This window comes from Homo sapiens, chromosome 1, assembly GCF_000001405.40.
Source record: "Homo sapiens chromosome 1, GRCh38.p14 Primary Assembly".
NCBI lineage: Eukaryota > Metazoa > Chordata > Mammalia > Primates > Hominidae > Homo > Homo sapiens.
In genome coordinates this window covers 158,471,918-158,495,233 of record NC_000001.11, presented here as the reverse complement: position 1 = coordinate 158,495,233, position 23,316 = coordinate 158,471,918, and the positions used below count along the sequence as shown (strand labels likewise).

Below are 23,316 nucleotides of genomic sequence, written 5' to 3'. Positions count from 1 at the left end.
AGCACTAAAAAGCCTATTTGAAGCTCTCTGCACGTGGGTAGACCTTGTGAACTGGTGGGTTCCAATGCAGAAGTCAGGCAAAGCAATGCTATTCATTTTGTTGAAATTACTCATAACTTCTCATTACCTTCTCCAGAAAGAAACACTCCTACTACCTAAGTGAAAGGTGTAAGACTGGCTGTCAATCTGGGGTCTGAGTGTTGGGAAAGAGGCTGGTGCTGCCTCATAGTATGAAAGCATTCACATTTAATCCTCTGCTTGAAGTATAGCCCCTTACATTTGCCTCTGTTCTACCGAGTGTTTGAAGTCAGAAGTCCTTAGTTTAACTGCTGTAAAACTTAACCTCCAATCTTAAACTGGCATTCAACAGATACAAAGCAATGCTACTCCGTTGGGAGTTGGCAGTCTAGTGATGATCTATGAGCTTTTTGTTATTGGCTTGTAATGAGACAGGTATAGAAACTAAATTATATTTGTGTTACTTACCAGTGGTAAGCAACTATTATAAAATTTGGTATTACTGAAACATACAAGCACATAATCAGACACATTTTTGGAGCAGAATATAGAATAGCTCAGGTGCTTTTCATTTCGTTTTTCTAGTAGTTGATTTTTATCATATTTTACTGAAGTATTGGCCTTCTATGAAATGTAAAAAGAAACTGGTTCTTTACTGCAGATGATTTGAGAAGCACTGATGGAGAAGTCGAGTTCCTTATTCAGATATTAAGCCAATCTTACTCTTTCCAATGTCATCTTGGTGACCCAATTGTGACAAGAATGTCCAGATACAGTTTGGTGTTGTGAACTGGTTGGCTTCCCCGTTTTGCAGGTATGTTTTCAACTTTCTCTCTTTCTCTTACAACCATGTCAATCATCCTTTTTATTTTTGCTTCTATAATTGTTTTGATGTCTGCCCTGTGTTGTTCTCTCCTGTTTACCTTCTTGATGAGGGCTTATATGTATTTTTTAATACACCTACTATTATTTTAGTGCATTTATAGGTAGAAATACATGTTAAATCCCAAGAGGTTTATTTAGTATGTAATAAAAGATTTCACAACAAAATTCAACATCAATGTTGTTAGAAGTGTATAAAACTCTAATAAGCTCTAAAATGCAGTAAAGCATTTTAATTTGGCACTATGAAACCATGACAGGTTATATACACACCAATAACAATATAGTGTGCTAAAATAGTTTAATTAAATTTAATTCATAAAATAAATATAACATCTACACATACCAAAATTTTAATCTAAATGAATGTGCTTCACTGGGCATAATTCATAAGAAACCACTAATAAAACATAATAATTTGTAAAAATAGAACTGTCAATCACATTCTCCCACAAACAAAACTAGAAATAAATAACAGAAGTTATTTAAATATCAGCAAGAATATATCTATAATACATAAACACTCCATTCCTAAATAACATTTGGTCAATAAATGAGAAATATAAACCCATTAGAAAAAAAAAGAACAGAAGAAAACAATGGCAATAACCAATGTTGTACTTGAAATGCCTTAATTATTTAACCATGAAAATGAAATGAAGTAAAATGAAAATAAATAAAAATACCTAGGCCAAAAACTGGAAAAGGGAGATAAAAATTGGAACAGAGGTTATAATTTTTAAATATAAGAAAACATTATTTGTGATTTGACACATTTTAATTTGAAAATCTAAATAAGGTTAACAGGAAAGAATACAGTTATATTATGTCCCAGAAAAAAGAGGCTGCATATGAAATATGAACTTCAGTTTTATTTATTATTATTTTAAAAGAATACTGATAATCTACAGCATAGCTAGAGAACTGCACCCAGGATAGTGAGGCATCTGAAATTCAGGTCACATAAATTATGGAAAATGTTCAGACTGTCATCATAACTGTCTCAAACATCTGTGAATCAGGACTCGACTTACTGTATGACACAAGAGATAGAATGCATGAAAAGCAGAGGCAAACTTCAGCTGAAATGAGAGGGGATAATAGTATGAGCTGAGTGCAACGGGAATATACATTTTATGAGGTCGTTGATGCCCAATCAGTGGAGAAGGGTTTCCCTTAGAGATACTGATGAAGAAATTTCTGTACAGGTGAGAGGTTGGACCAGATGATCACCAAGATACTTCTCTCTCAAATCTTATATATTCCCATGATAAATTTGAAGCCGGGTATCTTCCTCTTCCTAATAAATTCAGTGTGGAAAGCCACGTAGATACCTTTAGCCCAAGATGGGACGGAATGGTTGAATATTGTTTTCCATTCCATTATGAAGCATAACTTCTATGTTACATAGCAAAACTTCTACATTGCATAAGAAGTGGTTCAAAGGAGCAGTCAGAAAAGCCATTCCAAAATACCTGTTTTGAGGACCTTGAAAGAAATAAAATCCTCTCAGTTATGGAAAGCATGTTTGAAATGAGCTCTACATTGTATATGGTTTCACATTTTGCACTGCTTTTACACTTTCTTTTATACTATTTATAAGATACAAATAAAGCCCCCATGAAGTAAAACAGGGAAATTACATTATCCCTACCTTCCATATATTAGAATTTAGATTCAGAGAAGAGTCAACGCTTCAGTCATGACCTAACCAGTGTCCAGTTTTAAATCATCTAATTACCTGTATGGTACAGTTTTCCCTGCCATGTCATACCACTAGATCTAAGCCACCTTCAGGCCTGGACACCTCATTTTAAGCTGGACATAACCTTAAACAGAGTGCAATCAGAGATCTTGGTCAAGCAAGACAAATATAGGGCAAAAAATGATGGTTGCTAAGACCCTTTTGAGGACTTTAAATTCAGAGGAAGAAGAGAAAGAGGAGGAGAGTTATGTTTTATTGCCAGATATTTTGTAATCTATCTTAATTACAATGACTCCAGGAAGAAAATATTGCTATCTCTGCTTTACATAGAACATGTAGGCCCCAAATGTCAAACAATTAATCCAAGGCCTCGCAGTTAGTTAGATAAATAGACTAGATAATCTCATGGTTTAAATAATCGTGACACAATTGTTCTAATGGTGTCCATACTGTTAGAAAGTATTCTGCTCATAGAGTCTTAAGAGAAAACCCAGACTTTCCAATCAGTTTCCGAATAGCCATCTGCACATCGTTGTTCCTGAGGCTGTATACCATGGGGTTCAAGACTGGGGTGATGATGGTATAGGTCACTGTCACCAGCCTATCTTTGCCCGATGTATATTTGGCTGAGGGTCGCAAGTAGACAAAGGAAGCTCAACCATAATGGACAATGACTACAATGAGATGGGAAGCACAGGTGGAGAAGGCTTTTTGTTTGCCTTCAGCTGATGGGATCTTCAGGATGGTGCGGACAATGAAGCCATAGGAAATGCAGATAAATATCAAGGGCACAACAAGCACCAAGACCCCGAAGATGAAGATGACCAGTTCACTGATGTAGCTGTCAGCACAGGCGAGACGGATAACTGGTGAAATATCACAAAAGTAGTGGTTGACCTTGTTGGAGCCACAGAAAGGGAGGCTAAAGACAAAAGTTGTTCCCACCAGAGATATTAGGAAGCCACTAATAATACAAGTTGCTATCAGTTGTCCACATACTCTCCAGCTCATGAGAACAGCGTATTGCAAAGGCTGACAGATGGCAGCATAACGATCATAACCCATCACTCCCAGAAGCAGACAGTTAGTGACAGCAAAACCGAGGAAGAAGAACATTTGGGTGGCACAACTCACAAAGGAGAGTGTCCTGAATACAGAGAATAAGTTGATAAGCATCTTGGGCAGAATAACAGTTGTGTAGAAGATTTCAGAGATAGAAAGAATACCTAGAAAGAAGTACATGGGTGTGTGGAGGCTGTGATCCAAATGAATGACTGAGATGATGATGATGTTTCCACTCAAGATAATCAAATAGAGGCAGAGAAAGACTGCAAAGAGGACAAGCTGCAATTCCCCAAGGCTAGAGAAGCCCAGCACTAAGAACTCAGTGACAGAGGAAGAATTGGCCATGAAGAGTTGATCCCACGGAATAAAGTCAATATGATCAGGTCCAGAGATCTTTGGAACTTAAAATTCAGGGAGACCTACCCTCATAAAGTAGCTATGCCAGTCTTGTTTGGATGAGAAACAACAAGCATGGGAGAGAAAAAAGAATTGTAAATTTAACCAGAAGTTCTTCTAAATTGGTATGCATTCAAACTCCTATTTTTCTGCTGTTGATTTTAGCAGTGAATCTGGGGACAAATGTACACATGAAGTGTACAGTCATTTGCTCAAATAAAGCCTATCTATTAGGTCCCCTACTTGGAGACTTTCTTGCTCCTTCCTGCCCAGGATAAGAATCATCCCTTTGTGCAGTGTATCCAGACTGTATATGCTATTATCCATTAGTCACTCAGAAGCCGTCCAGTTATTAGATCAACTGTCATGGTATCACCAAATTAGTGCTCAAGTAACCTTTATTTTCCTTAATAATGGCTCCAAAGCTCAAGAGTAGTGATGCTGATATAATGTTATTGTTGATCTATTTTATTATTAGTTATTGTTGTTAATATCCTACTATGCCTAATTTATAAATTAAGCTTTATCATGGACATGTATTATAGAAAAAAATCATAGTATATTTAGGGTTCAGTACTGTTCAGTTTCAGACATCCATTGGAGTCTTGGAATATATTCCCTGCAGACTAGAGGGGATTCTTGTAATCTAATGCTATAAAATCCTTTATCTATATTAATTATTATTTTCAACGGTCACACTTTTATCCTGATTACTGATACATATGTCAATAAGCGATAGCATGAATAAGCAATAGCACCAATGTCTGACAATTCACATTTCTACACCTGTTTTTAATACCTTCCCCATCTAGAGAAACATCCATTGATCTTTGTGTTACTTAAAGAGCACAGTTCCCTTTTACAACTAATTATATAACCAATTTTTATGCATTCATTTGTTACAAATAAATTGGTTTTGAACTATTGCTATTGTTTTAGGACTAGCTTTATGATTATTCTACAAACTCTTACAAAATTATAGGCCTGATTTCTCCTTACAGAAAAGACATAGCTAGAATCTTTAGTTTTGCTTCAGCATTCACTTGTTGCCCATTGTTTTATGTCCTATCCTTGATGTACCTGACTTGGAGGCCCAAAAGGCTGTCATTCCAAGGAGCTGTCTCTAAATTTCTGAATAAGTGGGCTCAGATATCTTCCCTAAGGCCTCCAACATATTTATCATTGCTGGTACTGAATTATATACATTTTAATCAAAACATTCTTATTCTGTGCTACCTCTTGCCTAAATGTGTTCTTTTATCTAGATTCTGTATCTCAATAAATAGTTTCAAAATACTCTTAAGCCATCTAAGCTGTAAATTTCTAAGACGTGTTTAAACTCACCATTTTTCTAATCCTCCACATTCAATCTATTTTTTTTCACTTTTAGGATTCATTCTTATCTTTTGCAAGCAATTATCCCTTCCCTGGACTATAGTGTTATAAATGAACTGCCCAGATTCTCTCTTCCACTCTGAGTAATCCTTCATAATAGCAGCAGAATTGTCTTTCTATAGAACAAATCCTATCATATTACCACAACAACTGACTCTGTTACCTATAAAATATTCTAGGTTTTTCACACTTTTCCCAGTTTCACCTTTTCACTCATAACTGCCATTATAGATTCCTTCATATGTACTTTAGCAGTGAGAATTTTTACACAACCAAGTCATTTTTCATACTACTTTCTATATCTGTAAATAGTCTCTGCTTTATACTTATTGTTTTTCTGCTTCTGATTTTGTGGTCTCCTTTTACTTTTCATTTAAAATGACTTTACTCATAGAATCCTTCCTACAGCTTCCTAATCATGCTGCACCATTTTTTCTGGATTTCCTGAGTAATCACTAGAATCTTACCTGCTTTGCCACAAACTATTATTATAAGAATGTCTTTGACTCTACAAATTATAACTTACCAAATAACAGAAACTGCATCTCAAAAACACACAATGATGCCCAATATATACTAAGTGCTTCAAAGCCTGTTAAAAAAATAAATGACCAATGATATCACTTTATTTTCTAAATCATTTCAAAACTCTCAAGTAGATGATATTTGATTCCAGGGATTTTCAAAACTTGTTACCTTAATATCAACCTAGCCTGTAATATTACACTCTGCTTCAACATTTTGGGATGAAAAATCTCTCTGATATTATTCTCTGAATGCAGAGCAAAAAATCCCGTAAAAAATGTTGCTATCTTATTTATCATTTCTGATGATCAAATAGTTTCCTCCGTTATCTCACTAGCTAAACTTTTTATTTTAATTTTAGAAACACTTGATTTAGGGGCTTCAAATCCTTTACAAATAACTAAATTGCTATCAATATTTGCTGTTTTGCTTAGGCAAATGTTTAATAAAATTTTGAAATGGGACTAGAACCAAGAGTTTTATTTTCTATCTCTATACATCTTTGAATGGCCTTATCTCTAAGCTTTATAAATAAAGAATATACACCATGCATTTGACCAAAACAGAGTCCTCACTAACATTCTTCCTGAGACATCTTCTATGCCTTTCCACTTTCCATATATCCTTTCTTGGAGTGTTTTCTCACTTACAGGCTCATCGCCAGTATTAATAGTGACAAAGTAAGCAAATAAAGTTGGTGCACCTGAATGAAAAGTAAGGTCACATTACTCAGTATTTACTCTATAACTCCTACCCCATCAACCATCTGTTCTTTCAAACTCATCCTTGGAACCTATGTGGAACTAATAGTGAAAAATAAAATTTACTATGGAAATCTTTGACTTTACTTAACTCAGTCTAGGATACTGCTTAAAGTAACTGCTAAATAGGAGATAGTGACATGAGTTTGGAAGGCAAGGCATTACAGGTTGAAAGAAAAGCTTAGAAAAATGAGAAAGAGAGAGAAAAAGAAAAGAAGAAAAATAGAGTAACTAGATCACCTTCTTAACAAGTAGAAATTGTGAATTGATATTTTCACATTATACCGCTTAGTAACTCTTCATCATCTACAGGTAAAGTCAGAATTCCTTAAGCTGAATCATAGGACATCTGATTCTCTGTCTCACATACATTTACAATCTAATCCTCTAAGTTTTCATCACACAGGAATTGTACTGAAATACAGTTTCCATTATATGCCCTTGTGTCTCAAGATTCCACTGGAAGAGAGAGAGAGAGAGAGAGAGAGACAGAGAGACAGAGAGAGAGAGCGATCTCAGCCTCCAATATCATTTCCTCTTCATGTATGGCCCACTCATTCCTCACATTTTTTGAGTCATCAATTATTGAACTTTCTCCAATATGTCTAGGGAGGGTGTGCTGTTCCCTTCTTAGTAATCTAAAGCTTGTCTAGTATGTCTTCATCAAAATACTCAACATGTTATATCTAATTTTTTTTTCCTATTGGTCTCTCCAATAGATTTAAGAGTCCCAAGGATAAATGCCTCATCTTATTCCCTTTGTATCCTCAACTTTATCCAATATTTAAATAAATGAGATATGGATACTTGATGAAAAAATAAATGTCTATTAATGAATTAATAATAATTCCAATTAGTTTATTTTGTAGTAACTTGGTTTCCCTAAGAGGCACTACCATGTGCCTCTTAAGTGAGAAACACTTCTGTCTTCCTTATACATTCTATGTTTACTGTAAATTTTTTATTCTTTCTTTCCAAAACTAATACTACCTCCACCCTATGAAATAATCAAGACTTAGCCTGAGTCTCTGCCTTTGTCTTGGCCTTGGTCTCAATTTTTATCCTTATTTTCTTCACTATTCAGCTTTGCTTTCTGTCATTTGGTCACAATTTCTATTTTTCATTACTAATAACTAGGGATAAACAGATCACTAGCTCATGGAAAAACTCAACAATTTTTAAATTTGACATACAAATAAATGACTGTCACTGGTCTTCTTAATAAAAAAATCAAGGTCTCTAAATAAAAATTAAAATTTTACATTTCTTCAAATCAGAGTTCTAGTGCCTTGTAACCTGCCAGTTAATTCATTCTCAGGCATTTCCTAGAAACTTCTGTAAAGGGTTTCTAAGTGAAATTTGCCAAAATTGCCTTCCCTGTCATGATGCCTCAGGGTTCTTCTTCATCTTTCAGGAACTCCCAAGACCAAAATAAGAAAATAGCATTACTCCAGAGAAAAATGTTACCTGTGCCCTGTCTCCATGGGTGCTTTAGGTAGTGCCTCAATGGGTGTCATCAATGGCCTTTCCTTTTTACATTAGCCATGGTCTCAATGCCTTGGTTGGTAAGTGAGCTCGCCATCTCCACAGGGAGCTAATTACCACATTGTGCCCAATACTTGTCCATAATTTTTCTAATTAGCATGTGGAACCATGATAATACACTATGAGAATTCATTGGCCAAAGAAAAAGCCCTATTATTCATGGGGATTAGTTGACTTCCTCTTGGAAATTCTCTAAGGAGTCAGAGATGTGGAGATTCTCCAGGCAACATTTGTTAAAATATACATCAATGAAACTATCTCCTTTGAATTTCCCTACATAGTGCCTCTAGAGTTTCGTTCTGAAGTTGAAGAAAAGTATTCTTTTTTATGCTGCTACACATTCCTATTTCTGAAAGCTAAAAGAGAAGAAGATATAAAGAATAGAGGACAGAATATTAGAATGGCAGAATCTTTCAGATACATTAGAAACAGGTTTGCTTCTGGAATATAATGTGAATTTGGTAAATATTTCCTCAGTATATGAATACAGTTTGGGTTATAGAGAAAAGTGTGACAATGCCTTCATGTAGGTTTTCACAAAGCCCATCAGCTTTCTCCCCATTTCAGCTCACATATCGATTCTTTCTGACAGTGAGTCCATCCACTTGGGCTGGAAATGGGTCAAATGCTAGACATGCATGGACGTCTCTCTAAGGTGCTCACGTGAACTGCTCTCGTATAAGTCATGTCCCGCATGTTCTCACTTATAAGTCAGAGCTGAACAATGAGAATACATGGACACAGGGAGGGAAATAACACATACTGGGGCCTATGGTTGAGGGGCAGGGGAAGGGAGAGCATCAGGATAAATAGCTAATGCAGCTGGGCTTAATACCTAGGCGATGAGTTGATAGGTGCAGCACACCACCATGACACATGTTTACCTATGTAACAAACCTGCACATCCTGCACATGGATCCCAGAACTTTAAATTAAATTAATTTTTTTTAAAAAAAGATGCTGCAGCAATGAGAAAACAAGAGAAAAGCCCAAGTGATTAACCCAGACAGGAACTTTTGGTGGCTTCCTCCTTCCCCTGAATCCAGATAGGAAGAGTGACTACTTTGACAAATAAATTATAGTAAATGTAAGACTGTATCCGTTTATTAACCCTAGTCTCTAAAGTCTTGTAGCTGCTACTTATGGAGTGTTGAATCATCTACTTTTGTACCCTAGTAACCATGTTTTGAGGAAGCCCAAACAGCCCTTGGAGAATCTATATGGTAAAAAACCAAGGCTCCTGGCCAATAGCCCCAGCTGAGCAAACAACCAATAGCTAACACGAATAAAACAGGCACATAAGTGAGCAATCTTGAAAGTAAATCCTTCAGCCCCAATTGAATCATCCAACCTGCTGGGACAAAGAACAAATTCCAGCTGTCCCCACTGAGCCCTGCCAAAATTGCAGACTTGTGTGCAAAATAATTACAGCTCATTTAAGCAACTAAAGTTGTAGAGAGTTGATTATGCAGCAGTAAATAATGAGAACAGAATTTGGTATCTAAAGGCAGGGTGCTGTTATAATCAACATTTAAAACATTTGGCATTAATTTTGCAATTGGTGGTATAAATAATCCATAAGGACTTAAGGAGTCTCTTACTAAAAGGTGAAAGGATCATAAGGCAACTCTTGGTAAAGCTTTGAAGCACAGAGAGAAAAATATTTGAAGGACAGAGAGGAAACTGTTATCATACTTAGGTAAAACATGGATACTTATTATCCATTGCTCTAAAGTTTGGCAGCAGGACCACATGCTACAGCCTGGAAAATAGACTATTTAGTAATCTCATTATCTTCCTGGGTAAATTTCTAGGAAGACTATAGAAAATTCCAACCAATGATAAAATATGAAAAGAGAGTAGACAGCAGGATACTAGAGGAAGGGAATAGTAGAGAAAAGGGAAGGATAGGTGGAGATTTGCTAAAGGATACAAAATTACAGCTAGATAAAGGAATAAGTTACAGTGTTCTTTGCTACTGTAGGATGACTATAGTTAACAGTAATGTATAGATTCAAATTGCCAGAAGGAGGGTGTTGAACATTCCCAACATGAAGAAATGATAAATGTTTGAGATGATGATATGCTAATTACCTTGATCTGATCCCTATAACATTATTTATATCAGAATATTACTATGCACCTAAGGAATATGAACAATGACTATTTGTCAATTTAAAAGTACATAATTTTTTAAAGTTTCTTAAGTTTCTGAGAATTTAGAGGAAACAGAAAGAAACAAAACTTGTTGGGTTTGCAAATAAAGATGTTTCTCATGCACAGTCTCTCTCAACAAAGACTCTCAAGGTACAAAATGGCTTCAAGGAAGAAATCAAATCCAAGGTGCTATCAGGAAACCAATGCCTCAGGGTAAACCTCTTAAGAATGTAGCTGTAATACTTTTTGTTAGAACTCAGAAATATTTTAGGCTATACCCAACAAGATTTATAAATATCCTAAGGGCCTGACTCCTTAAAGTTAAGCAATAAGTCTTTTTAAGAATCTTAAGGGAATTGCCATACAGCAGTTATTAATACTGCTACCTCACAAGTGACCCATAATAAAGAAATGAATATGGATGTGACTTTTATCTAATGGAATTAATTTATAAACTGAAACATAAGAAACTCACCAAGTTTTAAAAAGGCATTCTATCAACATGTGCTAAAGGCTACAGAGCAAACAGAAATGAATAGACCTTTGGACCCTCAACTTCTTCCATGGAGGTATCAGACTAAGAAATGACATGTCTGCAAATTGTAGCTATGTCTTGCAGATAAAAAAGGATGATCAGAAAGTGGGGAAATGGCATCACAGGTTAGATCTAAGAGTCATGGAATTCATTCCCAGAAAATAGGACTGGCAACAGTGTCCAGATGAATTTCAGAATTTCTATGGACCAATGACTGTGATGTGTCTAATTTCCTCCTTTTTCACAAGGGAATGTCCATTGCTATTCCTATGCCCATCACATCATTGTCTTTTTGGGTGTCAGGAGCAGACAACCTGCTGGTATTATGCCTTAAAAGACTAGCAGCTTCCTCTTTCTGTTTCTTGGAATGTTTAGTCTTTGAAACCAGTCATGATGTTGTGAGAAAGTTTATAGAACCCCATGAAAAGGGCCACATGGAGAGATACTGACTCTCACAACCTATAGCCCTGACTCAGCTCCACTACAAATCAGCATCATTTTGCCAGCCGTGTAAATGAGCCAAATGGAAGTGGGTCCCTCAATTCTAGTTGAGCAGCTCAGTTGACATTGTATGGAGTTAAGACAAGCCAATCTTATAAGCCCTCTCCCATTTAAGAGATTAATGAGCAAAATAAATTATCATTGTCATTGTTATTTTTAATTACTGTTATGGGGGACATAAATATTGCTACACTTTCACATGTAGTTTCAGATGTTTTTCTTAGCTAGACCAAGAAGTCATTTATTCAATTAAAGTTAAGAGACATGTATTAGTTATCTCCTGAATGTCAGGGATATAAAAGACATTTAGGAGGAGTTAATGTATCGGTATAATAAATTACTTCCTTTCACGTTGTTGATTGTCCATTAGAGAAAATAAGATATGTACATAATCAGCTCAATATGTCAGAGCTCAGTAAGAAGTATAAGTAAAGCTTACAATGCTATGGTGTTTTGAAGAATGGAAATCAGGTAATACTTCATGAAACAGGTGAAAATAAAAAAAACTTTGATGGTAGACATTGGACAAAGAAGGAGATAATCTTTTCAAATAAGACCTTTTTTGATTCTTAGGCCGGTACAGGACCATTCTCCATAGGATCCCACTTTATAAGCTGTAAGTAAAGAAATGTGGTGCACAGAATGGCAAATTTATGTTTATCTTCTACTGCCTTTTTAATTAATGATGGCTATAGTATGATGATGGCAAACAAGGCCATTTTGTCACTGCAAATTATTTTCCTGTAGAAGTATTATTCTACTGTTTATTATTATAATATCTTTTAAACATAATTTTAACTCTTTCTTGTTTCTACTAATAAAAAAAGGAATTCAAGAGACCTATATGCCAGGATGGTAGGAAACTAGAGCCATATAGTAAGATAGAAAAAAATGTTTTGAATCACATTCATGTCGGCATGCTGCAGAAAATATTCTATACATTAGTGTTGGACACAAAAATCAGCTACTTTTCATGAAAGTTGATCAAGATGTTAAGTGTAGTTTATTTCTGAAACTTCCTGCTTACTTTTCATTTCTTTTCACAGTATAGAATTTAGTTTTCCTAATGTATACATATTCTGTATTTAAAAACCTCAAATGTTAGACTGCACAGTACCTTCTCCTAAATTTTTAACGAATGTGACATAAAATAGCAATACTCTAGTTAATTGAATATGCTATCTTGACCAGGATAGTTTCTCTGCCTACCTTGCGGTAAATTTTTCTGAAATTTGATATTAAAAAGGAAATTAAATCCATTAAAGGGATCTAGAAGATAGCAGCAGGGATGTCTATTAATCTATCCTGCTGTTATAATAAAATTATAAAACATGTAAACTCTGTGACATGATGATATAAATAACCTTTCAATCAGGTAAAAAAAAGTTACAACAAATTGTTAAAAGTAAAAAAGAAAAGGTGAAATGATGAAAGCAAATTTAAATAGATTATATGACTTTGGCCATGAACAAGTACTCCCATGAATTGGATTTAGGGATGGACTTTGTATACTATGTAAACTCCTCAGATTGTAAGCAAGTTTTTTTTTTCCTGTATATGTGCATGAGGAGAGTTTCATGCATTAGATACATAGCTTTCAACAGATTCTCAAAAAACCATGTGCTGCAAAATGTGATCTAGAGTGATTAAGGTGACTATTTACGGCTATACCACTGGTCAGGCCAACTACTTGACTCTGTATACAGATGGTAACTTTATGAACTAAATATTTACCAATAAACACCATCATAACACCTTAAACTATAGGAAAAACATGCAGCAATGTCATAAAAGGCAGTTTTTCTTAGTTTCAGTTGAGGCACAAAAGCTGAGAGAATAAAATATGTGAACTGCTCTTAAAAAATAAAAATTTTGAGAAAAAAGGGGTGGAAATATAATCTTTGGAGGAAGCTCTTGACTTTCTTAATGTTTTATCTCTCCCCAAGAGTAGAAAACTGCTTCAAGATATTGATATATATCTGCTGGAGATAAAGGAACACAGTGGATTGCTATCTGAGCTCACCTGAGAAATCTGAATGTAGAAATCTGCAGTTACTGGCCTGAAATACCAGTACACAGAGAAATATGTCAGCACTTCAACTGACTATGGGTAGCAAGGATTGTCAAAATTTTCTTTTGGATCACATATTGACCATTTAGGAGAAATTGTCATTGTGGAATCACTTAAAAATAACATTTTGTCCAATAAGACCTTTAGAAAACATGGGACCCAGATAAATGTTGAAACCTCAGAATTAGGAGGAAACTTTACAAGCTGTCAGCTAGAGGCAGATTCAACCATATCACAGGAAATGTGGTAGAAGTTCCGAGTAAGGAATTATTTCAGCAGCCATGAAAGCTCCCTGCATAAGAAAGACTCAGTGTGCAACATCTGAAAGCAGTATTGCCAGAGCATGACTGTGGCAATGAAGCAAGATGTTCCCTCCACCTATCCCTCCCTCCCCAGTATAATGCTTGAAGGGTCAGTCACTGAAATAAGTAGAGAGAAAAGTGTTTGCTGAAAGAGCTAATACATAAGTCAACCTTCACTGGTACCAATGAAGGCTTCCCAGTTCAAAATTCAACACCCAGAAAAGGCAGAAATTTTAGCTTTAAATTAAGTTTAAATTTTCAGTTATCCCAGTGGACTAGGCATTTAAATTTGAGGAGTTCCCTGAGATTCCATATGAGGAAATGAAAAACATTAGCTTGTGGATTAAATTTAAAGAGACTGTAAGGAGAAAAACATATTTTATGACATGCCTCTTAAGGACTCCTATTATTTCAATGAATTTGTTACAGTTATAATATGCTTGTGATAAAAAGGCATTATTTATTAAGAAATCTAAAATGTAATAATATTTCAATTATATAGTTTTAGAGAACCTTTCTTGCCCAACACTTTTCTGATAGCAAGTTGGACATCCTTGTTTCTGAGGCTATAAACCATGGGGTTTAGTAATGGAGTGACAATCGTGTATGTCACCGTCACCAGCCTGTCTTTGTTGGACACATAGTTTGCTGTAGGCCTCAGGTAGATGAAGGAAGCACAGCCATAATGAACAATAACAACACTGAGGTGAGAGGCGCAGGTGGAAAACGCTTTCCGTCTGCCCTCAGCTGAGGGAATCTTCAGGATAGTCCTCAGAATGCAGAGATAAGAAACACAGATAAACAGAAAGGGAACCACAAGTACAAGAACTCCACAAATGAATATCACAAATTCGTTAACATCTGTGTTGGTACAAGCCAGAAGAATGACTGCTGAGATGTCACAGAAGTAATGATTGACTTTGTTGGCGCTACAAAAAGGGAGGCTGAAAACTAAATTTACTACTGTAAGAGAGGCCAAGAAGCCACCAATTGCACAGGCAGCTGCCAGTTTTCCACACACCTGCCAGCTCATAAGAGTGGGGTAATGCAGAGGGTGACAAATGGCAGCATAGCGATCATAACCCATCACACCCAATAGCAGGCAGTTGGTAATGGCAAAACCAAGGAAGAAGAACATTTGAAGAGCACAACAGTTGAAGGAGATTGTCCTGGCCACAGAAAGTAGATTGATGAGCATCTTGGGTAGAATGACAAAGGTGTAGAAGGTCTCAGATGTTGAGAGAATGCCAAGGAAGAAGTACATTGGTGTGTGGAGGCTTTTATCCAGGTGGATGACACTGATAATGGTGACATTGCCACTAAGAATGACTAGATACAGAAAAAGAAAAACTACAAAGAGGGCCAGCTGAATTTCACCAAGGCTGGAAAAACCCAGCAACAGGAATTCGGTGACCATGGTGAGGTTTTCTGCCAAGATCTGCAAAGGGGGAAAGAAGTAAAACATATTCAGGTATGTGAATATAAGAATTTGGGGCATGCACTCCTTTGTTCCTTTCAGGTGGTGACAAAGAAGAATCTTGCCTTTTATTCACCTTTTCCGGTTCCTAACTACCTCTCATGTTCATTGGTTCATGGTCCTCTTCTTCCATCTTCAAAGTCAACAAAGTTACATCTCTTTCTCTGACTTTCTGATTCTCTCTCCCAATTTTAAGAACCCTTATGATTACTTTGGGCCCACCAGAATAATACAAGATAATATCTCTATTTTATTGTCAGTTGACTTTCCTTCTGCAGCCTTAATTCCTTGAGCTTGTATAATCTAACATATTCTCAGGTTCTGGTGATTAAAACATAGACATCTTTGGGAGCTCATTATTTGGCCTACTACAACAAGCAACAAAAAATCTAAAAATGATATTAAGAAAACAATTCAATTCACAATATCATAAAAAAGCTTAGTGTCAGATTTAACAAAAAAGTGTGAGACATATACAGAGAAATCTCTCAAACATTGCTGGGTTAAATTATAAAATATATGACTAAATGAAGAACACCCATGTTCATGAGTTTAAAGATGTAATAAAATAAAGAGCAATTCTGACCAAATTGGTCTATGTAGTCAACATAATTCTTAACAAATCCCAGCAGGCTTTTCATCTAAAGGTTGATAAGATGATTATAAAATTTATATGAAAAGAAATCAGAATTGCCCAAATGTGTCTAGTTTAATCACTAAATAGAGGCTTTTGGAGCATTGTGATCCATTTAATTGTCACCATTTTAGTCCTACTCTAGGATCTTTAAGTGTTTCTGGAACACATCACAGCTCTTTGAAGATTGTTGATAGAAACAATTGTAAGTTGATTATTTGCATTCTCAGGCTGATAAAGTTTACCACTCTAGTAATGCCCAGTTATATTTGTAATAATAATTAAAATAACCATAAACACATTTTACAAAAGAAGATATTATATACCTGAACAGAGGGTTGGGAGATAGGTTCTGTTGAGCTCAATATAGATGGATTGAATTAGGTTAATATCACTTATTCCCCACTTTGAACAGCAATAATGTAGACATTCAAGAAAAATGAGCAAACAGATTATGACTAATTATCTGTATTTATATGCAGAATAAGTATTTTCTGAAGTGACTAGAATTATCCTTATCACCTTCCTTCTTTCCTTACCCATCATCTTCATCTATAGACACACATGGAGTCCAGCATGCCTTAAATAAAACATGGTCCATTGTAGAGTCATTGAATTCTGATACATAAACTGCTTTTAGGAAAAACTTTGTGTATGGTTTATGAAAAAATGAAAATTGGGGTTTGAAACTTACAATAGTTTTTTTCTGCAGTAAATAGTCAAAGCAATGTAGTATACCTTTGATTTTCTAGTAACAGTTAATTAAATCTTAGTATAAGAGAAGACAAGAATACTTTTTAGTCAGGTAGAATCCCATTAAATAAAATTAGCTTATATGAAATTTTTTCTAATTACTGCACATAAACCTCCCCTCAGGTTCTAACAGGTAGAAATAAGAATCTCTTCTCTCTGTCAATAGTTTCTTTTGCTGTGCAAAAGCTCTAGTTTAATTAGCTCCCACTTATGAATTTTTGTTTTTGCTACAATTGCTTTTGGGAACTTAACCAAAAATTCTTTGCCAAGGCTGATATTGAGAATAGTATTCCCCAGGTTTTCGTCTAGGATTTTTAGAGTTTGAGGTTTTACATTTAAATTTTTAATCCACTTTGAGTTAATTTTTGTATATGGTGAAAAGTGAGGGTCCAGTTTCCCTCTTCTGCAGATGGCTAGCCAGCTATTCCCACACCATTTATTGAATAGGGCGTCCTTGTTCCATTGTTTGCTCTTGTCAGCCTTGTTGAAGATCAGATGGTTGTAGGTGTGCAGCTTGCTTTCTTAGTTTTTTATTATGTTCCTTTGGTCTATGTGTCTGTATTTGCACCAGAACCATGCTGTTTGGGTTACTGTAACGTTATAGTATAGTTTGAAGTTGGCTAGTATGATGCTTCTCTCTGGCTTTGTTCTTTTTCTTTAGGGTTACTTGGGCTATTTGAGGGCTTTTTTGGTTTCATATGAATTTTATAATAGTTTTGCTAATTCTGATAAAATTACATTGGTAGTTTGATAGGAATAGCATTGAATCTGTAAATTGCTTTTGACAGTACGGCCATTTTAACAATATTGATTATTCCAGTTCATGAGTATGGAATGTTTTTCCATTTATTTGTGTTATCTCTGATTTCTTTGAGCAGTGTTTTTTAGTTCTCCTTGTAGAGACCTTTCTCCTCTTTTATTAGGTGCATTTCTAGATATTTTATTTTCTTTGTGGTTATTCAAATATAATTGTGTTCTTGATTTGACCCTCAGTCTAGACATTATTGATATATAGAAACACTACTGACTTTTTTAGATTGATTTTGTATCCTAAAATTTTGCTAAAGTCATTTATCAGTTCTAGGAGCCTTTTGGCAGAGTCTTTAAATTAGTTTTCTAGATATGGAATAATATCAACAATGGAGACAAATAGTTTGACATTTTCTTCCTATTTGGATGCCTTTAATTTCTTTCTCTTGCCTTGAATAGGAGTGGTAAGAATGGGTATCCTTGTGTTGTTTCAGTTCTCAAGAATAGTTCCAGCTTTTGCTTGTTGAATATGATGTTGGCTGTGGATTTGTCACAGATGGCTCTTATTATTTTGAGATATGTTCCTTAAAGCCTAGTCTGTTGAGGGTTTTTATCATGAAGGGACGTTAGATTTTATTGAAAATTTTCTGCATCTATTGAGATGATCATATGAATTTCATTTCTAATTGTTTATGTCATGAATTACATTTATTGATTTTCAAATATTGAACCAGACAACCTACAGAATGGGAGAAAATATTCAAACTATGCATCAGACAAAGGCCTAATATTCAGAATCTTTAAGAAACTTAAACAAATCAAGCAAAAAACAATAAACCCCATTTTAAAATGTGCAAAGGATATGAACAGACGCCTCTCAAAATAAGACATACAAGCAGCCATGAAACTTATGAAAAATGCTCATCATCAATAATCATCAGAGAAATGCAAATCGAAACCACAATGAGATACCATTTCACACCAGTCAGAATGCTATGAAATAAAAGACTTGTATCTACACATTGAAATGATCCATCACCCTTTCATCTTATTCATATTCATGACTATCCAAGTGCTCACAAACATTGATCAAAAACTGTAAAGACTAAAACGTATCTTACACATTTATCCTATATACTTAAAGAAGCATTAATTAAAACATTAATTTTTTAAGTTTAATTATTTTAATTTTTTTCCTTTTTTTTTTTTTTTTTGAGATGGAGTCTCACTCTGTCGCCCAGGCTGGAGTGCAGTGGCATGATCTCGGCTCACTGCAAGCTCCGCCTCCCGGGTTCAAGCAATTCTCCTGCCTCAGCCTCCTGAGTAGCTGGGACTACAGGCACCTGCCACCACGCCCAGCTAATTTTTTTGTACTTTTAGTAGAGACGGGGTTTCACCGCCTTAGCCAGGATGATCTCGATCTCCTGACCTCGTGATCTGCCCACCTCGGACTCCCAAAGTGCTGGGGTTACAGGCATGAACCACTGCGCCCAGCCTACTTAAATTTTTTTTAAAAAATATAGAAAACCTGTCTGTACATTTGAGCAAAACCATTGATCAGTAACAATAAAATCATACGAAAATCATATTTTTGAAAGCTCTTCCATATGATAATTTGAAAATACTATTAAACAAGTGTTGGGTCAAAGGGAAAATATAATGTAAAATAAAATAAGTTCTAGAAAATAATGTCAGCTATATATATTAGAAAATATGGCTAAATTTAAAGCAGTTATCAGAAGAAAGTTTATACCTTAATTCTTTACCTAAACAAAAATTTAATGATTTTTAAAATATAAAACATCTCAATGCCACCTAAACTGTTTCTGACCTATAATAGTAACTTAATAAATACATCTTTAATACATTTTAAATATCAGTTTAAATTTTCAACGGATACATTCAAAATTTATATGTTAATAAAATACAAAAAAATGTAAAGGATTAGAAAACATTGTATTACTGGACAGAAAATTTGAAAAGCTAAACGTAAACAATAATGAGATATTATCAAAGAGTATTAAGCAACAATTGGTGTAAAATAAAATATTTATTTACAGAAAGGCACAATTAGAAATAATAGAAAGCAAACAACAAATGGAAAACTACCAAAAATATTCTTCAGATGTTAATATTAATAAAAAATGTATTACAAGCCGATGGAGAAAATAACAAACTTTGAAGAAGAAAACAGATAAAAGCATACAGTTTATAAAATAGAAATAGAATGCATCAAACATATAAAAATTTATGTTAAAAATATATTTTAACTTGAAGTGTATTTCAAATAAAGTAAAGTAGAGATATTATTTACACTCATCAAATTAGCTGTGGTGGTGTTATATGACTAGTAACAAAAAATTTACTAATAAGATTATAATTTGGTTTTGTTTATGCCAAGAAATTTAGCAAACTATATCTACATCCTTGAATATATTTATCTAATTTATTCCAATATTCTATTTCTTAAAAGTTGCCTATAGAGATTTATATGTAAAAATGTATTTTTAATAGGGAAAAATTGAAAATTGTAACACAAACTAATAGTACTTGTTTTAAGAAAGGCAGGATTATTGTGTATTGAATGACAGTATGGAATCTAGAGGAAGGTAACTTGGCTTTGGGTACCAGTTCTTCCATTGGGTGACTGTAACCTTAGACAATTTATTTAACCTCGCTATATTGTAGTTGTCTCATCTATGAAACAGGCTGTGATTATTATTAAATGTATTAATTTATATAGAGTGCTGAGAACAACACCTGCTACATAATAAGTGCTCTATCTAGTGGTATTATTTTCTTAACTATTATTAATTTTTTTTTGCTGGTCTCTTTGTCTTATAGGAAAATACGTTTTAAGACAGTGATTTTGAAACTTTATGTTTATTACATCACTGAGGTTATAGAATCAAATTAGGTTTCAACCCCAGCAGTTTTTAAATTTAAATGGAGAGCAGATAAAAGAAGAGAAGATTAAAATAAAGCATACCCAGTCTGAATAGCTCTTATTTAAAGCAAATATTTTATTTCAATTTGTGTATGTGTGCATGCATACTAGGTGTCAATTAAAATATATTTGTACTTTTTCTTGCAGATAGAACTACAAAAATAGAATACACACTCAATGGGCTGACCAACTGATTCATAACATCTTTATTGGAGAATGAACTTTCTTTTTCTCTCCAGGCCCCCTGTAACCCCTGTCTGGTATTTTCTACATGACTGATTCCTCTCTAGAGCCAGAACTATGGAATCTTAAGAGAATCTGTATTTCTTTAAAAAGAATAAATATCTTATGACACTCTTTATTTTTGTTTGCCTTTCCTCTCTTGTATCCAGCCTGAAGGGAGAAATTAGAAGAAACAAATTTATTCAAAGTAGGAAGCTATAGGGTTTTGTTTGTTTCATTCTGTTTTTCATTTTTACCTCCACTCCTGTTGACTTGGGAAGGGCAATTGGAGGAGATTATTTTCCAGAGTGATTTGGGCAGCAGAGATACAGGGGCCTGAGAATAGGAGGCATGGCATTGCGAACACAGAGAACAGCTAGGAGAAGATGGGAGAGGATAGGAGAATAAATGGTAAGGTGGGTGTTGAAACAGTTCAACTCAGAAGTGGCAGTCACAGAGACATTTAAATTTACATTTTACCAAGTACCTTCTTACTCAGAACCCTATAATAATCCCTGCAAACGTTGTAAAATTCCAATTTTCTTAGAAAGAAAGAAAGAAAGAAGAAAGAGAGGAAGAAAGGGAGAAATGAAGAAAGAGAAGAAAAGAAAAAAGAAAGAAAAGAAAAAGAAAGAAAGAAAGAGAGAGGGGGAGGGAGGGAGAGGGAGGGAGGGAAGGAAGGAAGCAGAGAGGGAAAGAGGGAAGGAGGGAGGAAGGAAGCAGAGAGGGAAAGAGGGAAGGAGGGAGGGAGGAAGCAGAGAGGGAAAGAGGGAAGGAGGGAGGAAGGAAGCAGAGAGGGAAAGAGGGAAGGAGGGAGGAAGGAAGGAAGGAAGGATAAAGAAAGGGAGGGAAAGGGAAGGAAAGAAAGGGAAGAAAAAAGGAAGGAAAGACAAGGAAAAAGGCTGTTAGATCTCTCACAACACTGCAAACATTTATTCCAGTTCCCAGATTTTATCCCAATGTTTTAATCTTATGGAACTTCTTAGTTCACTGAACATGCAAAGAGCCATGTCTTATAACAACAATGCCTTTTCCTGTGTTAGGGCAGATCCTCTAATCTTTCAAATCACTTCCCTGTAAGTCAGGTTTCCAAGCACTATTTCAATTTAAAAACTATTTATTGTATACATTACTAAATCTGAGACACATTATTTGGTGTTTGAGATACAACAGTGAACAAACCAAAGATCTTTACCCTTGTGAAACACTCATTCTTGGACTTCTTACATTTTAGATCATTCTATACAATGATCATTCTTACCTGGTACAATTTAAGCTCTTAGAATCAAAGACTATGTTGTTCATTTGACAAAAGTTTCCGTATCATGCACCAAACATTTATATACATCTCTCTAACCACATCAGCATCAGAGTTTCTAGCAAGAACAAATATTCAAAATCTGACAAAATTATAATTAAGCAAATTAATACCTAAATAAATCATTGCAACTAATTTGTAGGTATTTTTCATGTAGTTGGTAAAGATACTTCCAGCAAGCGATCAAGGAAGCTAGATAAAAATTTATGTTATGAAGAAAGCACTCAAGATGGAATTCACATTCTTATTTCAGCATTTTCTTTGAGCAAATAAATTAATCCTCCTGAATCTTAGTTTTCTCTTCTGTAATATGGGATGTTATAAAGATGAATGGACAACATAAGTAAAAAATGTAGCCCAGAATTATAAGAAGCCCTAATTAAATATTTCTTTCCTTTCTTCCTTCATTCCTTCTTAAGACTGGTGCCAGGGATAGCCTTTTTGACCATTCTGCAATATCTCTAATGTTCTTTTTTCTTGACCTTAAGATCTCAACTTGAGCATTATTTTATCTGCCCATCCAGCTACTTTTCCTATTACCACCTTCCAATCCTTTGCTGTCACGTATTTGTAGACTGCAATTTGAAGAAAATCTCAACAATTTCTGAATTAAACATAAGATAAAAGGCATAACTAGCTAACATCTTTAAAATGACATAAATATGTCCTAAGATTTTAGATAATTTAATTTCTGCAAGCCATCTATGGAATAAAGACCAAATCTCCAATATGAAAGAGTTTCACTTTCTTTAAAACACGAATCCTGGGGTACAGAGGAATGCAGTTGCCGTATATCTTAATCATGGCCCAGGCCCTTTAAGGAAAAATCTAAGTAATTCCCCAAAACTAGCATATTCCCAATATATTACACATCTTCCTGCTAGTCTCTTAAAATTTTTCAAGACAGCAACAAATGACTTACTACTTCGCTCCCCAGAACAGTGGTCATTGTGCCTCTTCTGTATGGGCTGGATCAGCTACAGGCCTAATGAGTATAATTAAGGAGCTTTTTTTCTGGTTCACATTAGCATCAATGCCTGCTTGGTAATTTTACTATCTAGCACCCTAGAGAGCCATGACCACATTGCTTCTGACACATTCTGCCCTCCCTCAATTAGCAACTATGATCCAAAGGGAAAATGCTCCTCAAGGCTTTTTTTTCCAAATAGATAAAGGAATAGACTCAGGAAATTAGTTGGTTTCCTATTTTAGATCCTTTGGTGAAGTGACTCATTACAAATCTAGAAGCTACTAGAAATACAATCAGCAGAAAAACCTCCCATGGGCTTCCTCCTATAGTTTCTGATTTTTGCCCTTTTGCTGGAGACAAGAATATTCACTCCTTAACTCAAGCCTC

General features: G+C 35.0%; 1 protein-coding gene, 1 long non-coding RNA gene and 1 pseudogene across 3 annotated transcripts; 1 reads left to right on the top strand and 2 right to left on the bottom strand.

Moving 5' to 3' along the window:
* Positions 1-347: 347 nt before the first annotated feature.
* On the top strand, positions 348-20,780 carry LOC107985213 (uncharacterized). Its single transcript, XR_001738258.2, has 3 exons — positions 348-579; positions 680-832; positions 20,567-20,780. It is a non-coding gene; the product is annotated as an uncharacterized LOC107985213 (long non-coding RNA).
* OR10R3P (olfactory receptor family 10 subfamily R member 3 pseudogene) lies at positions 3,076-4,014 on the bottom strand (annotated as a pseudogene).
* Positions 14,298-23,014, bottom strand: OR10R2 (olfactory receptor family 10 subfamily R member 2). 2 transcript variants are annotated; one of them, NM_001395749.1, is made up of 2 exons: positions 22,882-23,014; positions 14,298-15,296 (listed from the first exon to the last, which is right to left on the bottom strand). In NM_001395749.1, exons 1-2 carry the CDS (start codon positions 22,906-22,908, stop codon positions 14,349-14,351), a joined length of 975 nt encoding a protein of 324 aa, NP_001382678.1. In that variant the 5' UTR covers positions 22,909-23,014; the 3' UTR covers positions 14,298-14,348. The 2 variants fall into 2 exon arrangements, with proteins under 2 accessions (NP_001382678.1, NP_001004472.1); NM_001004472.1 differs by lacking the exon at positions 22,882-23,014 and having other exon boundaries at positions 14,349-15,356.
* Between the last annotated feature and the right edge of the window lie 302 nt (positions 23,015-23,316).

Bases quoted from the DNA above. Each gene is read 5' to 3' on its own strand.
- OR10R2 (NM_001004472.1), bottom strand. From the start codon at position 15,356: ATGCCCCAAATTCTTATATTCACATACCTGAATATGTTTTACTTCTTT.